Source organism: Homo sapiens, chromosome 22, assembly GCF_000001405.40.
Source record: "Homo sapiens chromosome 22, GRCh38.p14 Primary Assembly".
Taxonomy (NCBI): domain Eukaryota; kingdom Metazoa; phylum Chordata; class Mammalia; order Primates; family Hominidae; genus Homo; species Homo sapiens.
Genome location: NC_000022.11, coordinates 49,258,360 through 49,269,302, shown reverse-complemented (window position 1 = coordinate 49,269,302; position 10,943 = coordinate 49,258,360). Strand labels below are relative to the sequence as shown.

Sequence of the window (10,943 nt, the reverse complement as noted above, 5' to 3'; positions counted from 1 at the left end):
AACTAACCTGCACATTGTGCACATGTACCCTAAAACTTAAAGTATAACAATACTAAAAAAAATAAATTAATTAAAAAAAAAGAGGGGGCTGCCACCTGCAGACACAGGATGGGGTCACAGATAGCAGCCCTGGACATGCGGAGGCACCTGCCTCAGGAGAGGGAGTGGGAGCTGAAGACAGGAGAAGCCAGAGGACCTTCCCCGGGAGGGAGATGAGATGGGGCCCCAGGGGTATTTGTGGATAGAATCTGCTTTGCTCCAGCAAGTGCACAGGAGAGACCCAGAGACACATCAGGTACATTAATATCAGATAAAATTAAACCACAGAAGGCCGAGTGCACCCTCACTCTGTAGTCCTAGGGAGAAGGAATCGTGATTTTCATTACAAACAAAGGAATCAGAAAAAATGATATGATGAGTGACATGCACCTGTTGTGGTCACTTTGTGTTAGGAATTAAATCAAAGGCAGAAAACAGCAAATATTTCTGGTGAACTTGACTCTGGCATAACAAATAAAAATTACCAAAATAACATGACAAATAACAGACAAGAAAAGACTCTGACACACAGCCAGAAAAAGTTTATTATTGAAGTAGAGGGCCCTTAAAATCAAAAGAAAGGGAAAACACTCTAATAGAACAATGGGCAAAAGTCCCCTTCGTTCATTCATTCATTCATTCATTCATTCCTTCACTCATCTTCCGAGTCTTGGACCTGGTACCTCCTCCAGCCCAGCATGGCTCCAGATGCCAGATGGACACTGCGCTGCTCCATGGAGCTGACGTTCCATGCAGGCTGGGAGAGAGTCAGACAACAGACGCGGAAATAAACTAATCCAACAATAATTTGTTGGTGGAAGATGCTAAGAAAGAAAAAGTGAACCAAAATACTGGGTGGCGAGTGAGCAGAGTTCTCTGCCAGACCTGTGCTCATGCAGACCTCACATTTGGGCAGATGAAGGGAGGGAGGAGGGCAGGGGAGGTGGGGAGAGACTCCAGGGCACCAGGACTCAGTGTAAAGAACCAGGGCTGAGCTTGGGCTGTCCAGTAGCAGCCAATGAGGCTGGGACAGAATGAACAAGATGCTGGGGGAAGAGAGGAGAGCCAGGCAGGGGTGGGTGGGCGGCACACAGGGCCTGGGGCACGGAAGGAGCATGTGGGTTTACTGTGCTTGGCTGAGAAGCCTCAGAAGGGCTCGTCCTCCTTCGCTGCTGCGTTATGGACGGAAGGGATCAGAGACAGCAGGGAGGGACTGGATTTCGCCAGTCCTGGTGAGCAGTAAACAGCAATGCCCACTCTTTTTCTTCCACTTTCTTTTAAACCCGATACTAGTATGGCTCTTAGAAAAGTGGCAGAGTCATGTAGTGCGGCTGAGATTTCCAATTTTTTTTTCCAGGAGGAGATTTGAAAATATGCAATGAAAGCCTTAAAAAGTCTCAAACCATTAGCAGTTTTCATTATATTATGCTCAAGAAACTTTATTCTGAGGGAATATTGATAGATCCGCTAATGGATTATGCAAAGATACAGTTATACGAATGTTCATTGCAGTGTTGTTTATAATAATGGAAATTAGAAACAACCTAAGTATTATATCTGACTCATTCATAAACCCCATATTCATAAAATGGAATATTGTGCCTCTATAAAAATGATGTTGCGGAAGGATGTCCCATAAAATGGAAAGTATGCACACTCATAAAGACGGAAAACAATTTACAAAACAATATATAATAAATAGAGCTAATGAGGGCAATAAAGTTTCTGCTTGAAATTACAGCAACGTTTTAAATCGTTACTAGGGAGGAGGGAGAAAGTGGAGGGTGAAGTCCGGGGAACAGGGACAGGAGACAGGAACGGACGATGCCCGCACGTGATGGCCGGACGCTGACGCACAAACCACACTGCACACCGCAGCCCGGGAGGGCGACCACAGCCTCTGCTGCTACCTGCCCGCGGGTCCAGAGACCCCCAGCTTCCTTAACCTCTGTCTCCACTTTCAACTCAGAGCCAGCCAGAGAACCCCCAATGTGGCCCCTGGCCGATCGCGTAGGATGCCCCCTTCTAGGGAGTGCCCCAGCTTCCCCAGGCCTTGACCTCTGATCAGGGGAGCCGGGAGCCGTCCCTGTCCCATGGTGAAGCGTCCCCTCCGCTGCCTGTCGTTAGGCCTCAGCGGGGCAGAGGGACGATGGAGGACTCCCTGCTGTAGGAAGCACTGAGTAAACGCCTCTGCTTGTTCTCTTGTGGGTGGGCTTCGTTTCTCTGTCCCCAGGGAGGTCTTGCTGGACAGCGACTGTGCTGCCCCTCCCGGCAGACCCAGCCACTTGGCTCGCCCTGAGCCCGCAAAGGCCCCTGCACCCGGGTGTCTGAGCTGGGGCAGAGTCCGCACCAGGTCAGGACTCAGGCTGCCTGGGGCCCTCCGCTGTTCAGTCCTGGTTTGAGGCTGGGTTCTGAGCTTGGGTCCCGCTTGTTTGGCGTCCTCTGCCGATTCAGGCCCCTCCTTCTGTTCCCCTGGTGCTTGTCGTCTGTGGCAAGCGTTTTGTGTTGTGCTGCCTGAAAGTGCTGTTTGCCGCAGGAGAGGCTGAGATACACAGGCTCCTGCCCTCCACACCTGCTCGTCCTGGTCTCACACACAGCGCGTCTGCAGTGCTCACCGCGGGCGCGCACGCGGACTCTCCACGTTGGGGTCACAGATGGGAGTGGTTGAGCGTCTCCTTCTGTCTCAATTTCGCGTCCTGAGAGCTTGGCTGTGATCCAGGGAGAGCGTCTCCTCTGGTTTTCCGCCTGCTGGGGTCACAGAGTGAGGGTCTGTATTTGGAGCCTGCGACCATCAGGACAGGAGGAGCAGAGGCCTCACTAGGTGGGCTTGGCCTCCCCCCTCTCCTCCACCGGGAAGCTCTGGGCCTCCCCGCTCTCCTCCACCGGGAAGCTCTGGGCCTCCCCCCTCTCCTCCACCGGGAAGCTCTGGGCCTCCCCGCTCTCCTCCACCGGGAAGCTCTGGGCCTCCCCCCTCTCCTCCACCGGGAAGCTCTGGGCCTCCCCGCTCTCCTCCACCGGGAAGCTCTGGGCCTCCCCCCTCTCCTCCACCGGGAAGCTCTGGGCCTCCCCGCTCTCCTCCACCGGGAAGCTCTGGGCCTCCCCCCTCTCCTCCACCGGGAAGCTCTGGGCCTCCCCGCTCTCCTCCACCGGGAAGCTCTGGGCCTCCCCCCTCTCCTCCACCGGGAAGCTCTGGGCCTCCCTCCTCTCCTCCACCGGGAAGCTCTGGGCCTCCCCGCTCTCCTCCACCGGGAAGCTCTGGGCCTCCCCGCTCTCCTCCACCGGGAAGCTCTGGGCCTCCCCCCTCTCCTCCACCGGGAAGCTCTGGGCCTCCCCCCTCTCCTCCACCGGGAAGCTCTGGGCCTCCCCGCTCTCCTCCACCGGGAAGCTCTGGGCCTCCCCCCTCTCCTCCACCGGGAAGCTCTGGGCCTCCCCGCTCTCCTCCACCGGGAAGCTCTGGGCCTCCCCGCTCTCCTCCACCGGGAAGCTCTGGGCCTCCCTCCTCTCCTCCACCGGGAAGCTCTGGGCCTCCCCGCTCTCCTCCACCGGGAAGCTCTGGGCCTCCCTCCTCTCCTCCACCGGGAAGCTCTGGGCCTCCCCCCTCTCCTCCACCGGGAAGCTCTGGGCCTCCCCGCTCTCCTCCACCGGGAAGCTCTGGGCCTCCCCGCTCTCCTCCACCGGGAAGCTCTGGGCCTCCCCGCTCTCCTCCACCGGGAAGCTCTGGGCCTCCCCGCTCTCCTCCACCGGGAAGCTCTGGGCCTCCCCGCTCTCCTCCACCGGGAAGCTCTGGGCCTCCCCGCTCTCCTCCACCGGGAAGCTCTGGGCCTCCCTCCTCTCCTCCACCGGGAAGCTCTGGGCCTCCCTCCTCTCCTCCACCGGGAAGCTCTCGGCCTCCCCACTCTCCTCCAATGGGAAACACCCCTTCTTCTCAGAGGCACTTTCCTTACAATCCTAATTCTTGCACCTGTCTTTCTAAACGCCCTAACTTTACCAAGGGAATAGGGTTGATCAGGCCCAGGGGACAGCCATTTTTGATTGGTATTCGGAGGCCTCCAAAGGAAATCTGATTTAAAATCTTGATTCACTAGAAAAAAATTATCTGGCCAAAACTAATCAGCAGTTGGACAAACTTCAGCAACAGCAGGGTGGACTCTTCACTGGGACCCTCCTCCTGGGTCCTCAGGGGCTCCATGTCCCCTCCCCCACCCAGCTCCCCACTGTCCCCGTGCCTCTCTCCACTCCTCCTTCCTCTTCCCCATTGCCGGACACTTCCCTTTTGCCGTGACTCACCTGGGACCCCAGATGCCAGGTGCCCCTAAGACCCACTCCTCCCGTGAGCCAGGACGCAGGCAATCGTGGAACTCGAATCCTGGACCTGAGTGGACAGCTATAGTGAAGAATGTCTCCAAGCCCAGGCAAGGCCAGCAGCTGCCCATAGTGCAGATTTTGGGGGGTTGCACGCAGCACAGGCTTTCCCGACTTGTATGGACTTGTACATGCAATGGTCAGAACCTCCTTCAGATCCTGGAGAGCAAACGTAGACTGGACTGAGCCAGAAAACGATTCCTAGGATCCTCTTCCCACAATAAACCAGAGTGTCAACAGCCAAAACAACACACACACGATAAAAAACCCAAATGCAGGACAAAGACACATAAAAGTCATAACCCAAAACGTTTCCAGTAACAATCAATTAAGCCATGATTCAGTTACACAAATAGAAAAGCAGCAACCATCTGAGATTTTTGGGGTAGACGTGAACACATTTTCCCACAAATTAAAGACTTAAACAAGGTGACTCTTTTACCTCATTCTGTTAATAAAATGAAACCTGAAACAGTCGATCTAATTTAAAACCAGAAATTAGAACAGGAAGGGAACTCTGTGGTTGAACTACATCACTCAGCAGAATATTTTGAGAGAATTTGGTGAGGGAGGGTTGAGGGAGAAAGACGAAGAAACAATCCAAAATAAGGCCACAGCCCTGCAGATCCAATAGCCAGGCAGCCACTTCCCAGCCACCGCCTTCCACGGGACACGATGGAAACTCTTAGCAGGAGGGATGCTGGACAAAATAGTGTCTCAGTGAAAAGCCAGGGCCACACAGGCCGGGTGCTGGGGCTCACGCCTGTAATCCCAGCACTTTGGGAGGCCGAGGTGGGTGGATCACCTGAGGTCAGGAGTTCAAGAACAGCCTGGCCAACATGGCAAAACTCCATCTCTACTAAAAATACAAAAATTAGCCAGGCACAGTGGTGGGCACCTGTAATCTCAGCTACTCAGGAGGCTGAGACAGGAGAATTGCTGGAACCCGGGAGGCAGAGGTTGCAGTGAGCTGAGATCGCGCCATTGCACTCCAGCCCTGGCTGACAACAGTGAGACTCCATCTCAAAAAGAAAAGAAAAGAAAAAAAACAAAAAACCAGGGCCAAGCATACGTTTCACCAGATCAATGAGGAAATTAGCTACGACTATGGACAGTAAACCTCGTGAATTGCTGGTAGTTCTGAGGGCTTCTGTTTCTATGTCAGAGCCTTCCTCAGAGTGAACACAGTGCGTAGGACGTCCAGGTTTCACATCAACTGCTCACGTGTCCTCCCTTCCCGTCCTTGACTGTTGCCCTGGGGGTCCTGCCTGGAAGACATGTCTGTGCAGGGCAGTACCTCCAGGCAGTTACGCCCTGAGCTTCACTTACACTCCCCCCATTTTTCCCAGGTCCTTGATAGAGACATGAGAATGATGACATTTTGGAAATGGAGGAGAGATGAGAGGTTGCCAGGGGTGGTGGAGGGGACGGGGTGGGAGGGCGGCGGTGCGGCTCTGGGGGGACCAGGAGAGGACCCTGCATGATGGGCATCCAGGGTCTTGACTGCATCACTGTTGACATCCTGGAGGTTACATCGTGCTATTGTCCTACAAGATGCCACCCCTGGGCGAAACCGGACGCAGCGTGAACAGGATCCCTCTGTGTCATTTCTTATACCCACACAGGGCTCTACAATGACCTCAAACTAAGACGTGTACTCAAATCAATGAGCAGCTGCAGAGCAGTGACCGAGACGATCCCTCTTGGAGCATCTCAAGCCGCCATATCCCAGGCCTTGGAGGCCTCCCAGATGGCGTTGGGAAATGCCGTGTGGACCAGAGAGAATTCTTCCATGGAAGAGGCTGATGACAATGATCTGGAATAATCTGGCAGGATCTGGAATCACTGGGTCTTATTCCTGCTGTGGCCCCACATTGCTTTGTTCTTGTGAGTCAGTGGCACCCCTGATCCAGACCTCAGTCTCCTCCTCCGTGACACAGAGCAGACTCTGGCAGAGTGATTGAAGAATACTCTTACTTTTTCCCTTTTTTTTTTTTTTTTTGAGATGGAGTCTCGCTGTATCACGAGGCTGGAGTGCAGTGGTGCAGCCTCACCTCACTGCAACCTCTGCCTCCCAGGTTCAAGCGATTCTCCTGCCTCAGCCTCCTGAGTAGCTGGGATTACAGGTGCACGCCACCATGTCCAGCTATTTTTTTGTATTTTTAGTAGAGATGGGGTTTCACCATGTTAGCCAGGTTGGTCTTGATCTCCTGACCTCGTGATCCACCCACCTTGGCCTCCCAAAGTGCTGGGATTACAGGCATGAGCCACTGCACCCAGCCTACTTTTTCTTACTCTCATTGTTAAGGCTCAACAAGAGAAGGAAGAGGTGAGAAGTCCATCACGTAGGAAGCAACGGCCCTCAGTGGCAGCATCGTAGGCAGCCTGATCCCTCGACCTGGACCTCACAGGAGGAAGCCGGGAAATTGCCTCCAGAGATGGCCCAGTGTGAGGAGCAAGGTTTCCAGATTGTTCCATCACAGGGCTTTGGGGTCCCCTGCAGGAGCAGCTCTCATCCAGAGGCCAGGGCCCCTGCGGTACCCAGGGGGAGGGAAGAAGTGAATGAAAGCGATGTCCCCAGGGCCGCTGTCGGGGGTTCATAGTCCCTTACTTGAGCTGTTCTGTGTCCTCAGGGCCAAGGCCACCATGTGAGGCAGAGAGGAGATGGTGGAGGCCGAAATACTAATGATGGTTACACTTATGTGGCGCTTCCTCCAGCCTGTACCGGAGCACACAGGAGAACAGACGGCCAGAGAGAGCGGTGTCAGAAGTCCACGCAGAGTAGACGTCCTCATTCTCTAGTAAATAACGGGGATTAAAAAGTGTAGAATTCAAATTTAAATTACAATCATGAGAATAACTGCATTGTCCTGCTGTTTAGCACAAGCTAATTCCTACTTGCATGCCTAAGCTTGTTCCTGAAACAAGCTGAGGTCGGTGTGAGTGTGGCCCGGCGGTTCGTCTGGCTCAGCTGCCTGGCGCCCGACAGGTAGTCCTGGCAAAGTCACAGGGTGGCTCCTGCACAAACCGAGAGGGTTCCCGGCGCTTCCCCTGGGCCTCGTGCGCCTGCGAGGTTCGCGTCTGTCTCCTTGACTTTCCCATCCTGTCAGTCCAGGCTGGGATAAGCAGAACCTCTTGGCAAGGGAGGCTCCTCAGCCCAGCTTCACAAAAGGGGAAGCTGAAGCCCGTGGGGGTACCCTACCGGAGGTCCCTCAGGTTGTCTCCTGAGCCCCAACTCCCCTGACTCTGGGCCCATGTCTGCTGGTTCTCTACCACGATGCCCAGCAGGCCTCTTTTGAGGAATTTGTCCAGTCCTCGGCTCTTTTGTCTTCTCTAAGTAAAGCCGTCCTCCCGCACCTGCCCTGCTCCCCCTTCCTAAATGACATTTCTTCCTGCATGGTGGCTTCCAGGCCTCACGTGCTTCTGGTGTGACTCCTGGACGTCTAAAGGGCTCCTGACCATCCCCGGCAAAGGCACAAAACTGGGGTCCTTGTGGCCCCTCTTTCTCAGGGCTCACATTCAGTGGGTTGGGAAACCTGGGGGGGTCCACCCTTGAAACACCCAGACTCTGAACCCTTCTTATCAGCTCCACCTGTACTCAAGCCCAGTCACCCGCCTCCTAGCTGGGCTTCCACGCCCATCACCATGCCCCTAACACCTATGCTCACTGGAGCAGCTTTGGGGGCTGTTTACCCATAGCAGGCACTCCTGCGTCCTCTGCCCTCGAGGGGGTTCCCTCTCTGAGGCCCTCCTGATGTCCCCTCTGCCATCTCTGTACATCATGGAGTCTGCTTCTATTTCACTGTGGCCTCTGCTGCACTGTGACACAACCAAGGGCCCTCCTGGCCACCAAGTGTGAACAGTCTCCACCCTCCCATCTCTGTGCACTGCTGCCACCTCTGAGGGTTCCTCCTGGCTGTCAGGTGTGAACAGTCTCCACCCTCCTATCTCTGTGCACTGCCGCCACCTTTGAGGGGTCCTCCCGGCCACCAGGTGTGAATGGGCTCCACCTTCCTATCTGTGTGCACTGCCACCACCTCTGAGGAGTCCTCCTGGCCGTCAGGCGTGAACGGGCTCCACCTTCCTATCTCTGTGCACTGGCACCGCCTCCAAAGGGTCCTCCTGGCTGCCAGGTGTGAACAGCTCCACCCACCCATCGCTGTGCACTGCTGCTCTCAGCAGCCACCCTGCCTCCCTTCAGTGTCCTCGTTACCATCTGACATGGTCCATGCAGTTTGGTTTATTATCCCCTCCCCAGCAAAGACTGCTGGTCCAACGAAGGTGAACATTGGTTTTGTTTGGTTTGTTTCCTGCAACCTCTGCCCATAGAAGAAAGCTGGAGATGTGTTGGCACCATGAGTATGGAGTGAGTGAGTGAATGGATGGATGGATAGATGGATGGATGGATGAATGGATGATGGATGGATGGATGGATAAATGGATAGATGGATGGATGAATGGATGGATGATGGATGGATTGGTGAATGGACGGATGGATGGATGAATGGATGGATGGATGGACGGGTTAATAGATGGATGGATGGATGTTTGGATGAATGGATGAATGGATGGATGGATGGATGTTTGGATGAATGGATGGATGGATGGATAAATGAATGGATAGATAGATGGATGAATGGATAGATGGATGGGTGGATGAATGGGTGAATGGATGGATGGGTGGATGCATGGGTGAATGGATGGATGGATGGGTGGATAGGTGGATGACTCCAGCCCTCAGTGCCCTCTGTTATGCTGCCCCCCGAGTCTGATGTGCTGGTGGTGAGACCATCGGCTTCCAAGTAGCTCCCATCTGTCCCCCGCAAAGTCACAGCAGGGGTTGCTGGCAAGCAGCGAGTCAGGTGGGGAGGCTGGGCCTGGAGGCTTCTCGGGCCCCATGTGTGTAACCAGTGCTGGGTAATTGAAATTGGGTGTCTCCGAGGTCTGTCATCAATTCTTGTAAATGTCACTTTGTGCCTGGGCTTTTCTTGCCATTTTCTTTTTCCTGGAACCAGCATTGTTGTTCTCAGAGTGGCACTTGGGGATTCAGGGAGGTTTCCTATTCATTCCGTTTAACACCCCGCATCTCCAGCTCTGATTAAGCCTGACATTGTCTTTATAGAGTGAGTTGTTAAGAAGTGAAAAACTCTTTTCACAATGATTCTTTTTTGCATCCCACGAGATGACTTGGGAGAAGTGCCCTTGTTAGGACGAGCCCTCTGCTTCCAGGGTCTTCAAGAGCGTTAACATGCAATAGAAAATCTGAGGCCCTCTTGGTAATTATGGATACTTAAATTGCATTATAGAGAGATGTGGAATTGTGCATGATTAACTGGTAGGATCTATTTAGGAAAATAGAAAAAAATTACAGATTTTTTAGTGACATGTAAAATATTCATAGGATGTTGGTACCGAGCAAGAGAACAGAAACCATGCCTGTCTTGGTCTTTGTTGTATCTGCGTCACACAGCATGGTGCCTAGCACCTGACATATGCTGGAAAAATATCACCTGAAATAAAGATCACCTCATGCACAGAACAAGCTGCAGAATCAGGACTCGAAGCCTGGTGCTCGAACTCCTGAGTCTCTCCTTGTGTCTGGGCATCATGCAGCTCAACTGCCTGGGAGGATTCTCTCAAAGCATCATTGCCTGGAAGCCTGACACGCAGCCAGTTCCTCAGCACTCTCTGGAGTCTTAAGTCTTTCAGAGAGCAGCCAGCTGTGCCCCAAATTTCTCAAAGCAGACCCCCGACTCTGAGATCTCATCCTTAGGGAGAATTAGACAATAGCTCTTCATAGGCCAATCGCTCAAATGACTGTGTCCAAGAATGTAGGTAAAATTACCCTCTGCTCTATGATTAAAGTCGAGGCTAATCCTGCTCCAGGATACTTGGAATTTTTCATGACAAAGTAATGACTTCCAGGAATGAGATAAACCCTACATGCATTTTCATGGAAAATGGATCACTTCTGGAAAATAATTAAAATGAGTCCGATGAAGTCTTTTCCAGCAGTGCCAGAATATAGAAGCGGGTCATCCGTAACTACGGGGAGCGTGTTTGGGGCCGGCCGATCACCATGCGTGAACTATTAATAAAGTCTATTAGTGAGTGTCAGGATTTATGTGCTCCCTGCTGCCTCCTCTTCCTTAACTGTGCCATCTGGAAGCCACGAGTGACCTGTGCCAGGAAGGTGGTGCTTCGGAACAGCGCGCAACGCTGAGATGGCTAACGGAAAAGGAGACGACGGCTCTTTTCTCGAAACCTGTCAGAAATCCTTGAAAACATGTGAATCCTTACTCAGAAAGGATGGCACGGCTTCACGCGCAAAGCAGTCAGTTATGGAAATATGTTTGTGGTGTGCAGAAGCGGAGCCAATGTGTCTGACACCTTCGAGGAGGAAGCAGAATGTTGGGATTGAGTGTGAATTCAACGAGGACTTTCAGTTTAAAATAGGATCTGGCAGAATACCTGTGAGGACTCAGGAAATGAAACAACCAGCCCTGTTGAGAGCTAAAAGCAGCAGACGTGTTACGTGTTAT

General features: G+C 53.2%; 1 annotated feature.

Moving 5' to 3' along the window:
- Positions 7,943-8,458: an enhancer, noted in NCBI's record as "H3K4me1 hESC enhancer chr22:49656771-49657286 (GRCh37/hg19 assembly coordinates)". NCBI's record gives its function as "activates a minimal SCP1, AML or CMV promoter by ChIP-STARR-seq in naive H9 embryonic stem cells {active_cell/tissue: H9 hESC(naive)}" and the evidence as "EXISTENCE:reporter gene assay evidence [ECO:0000049][PMID:30033119]".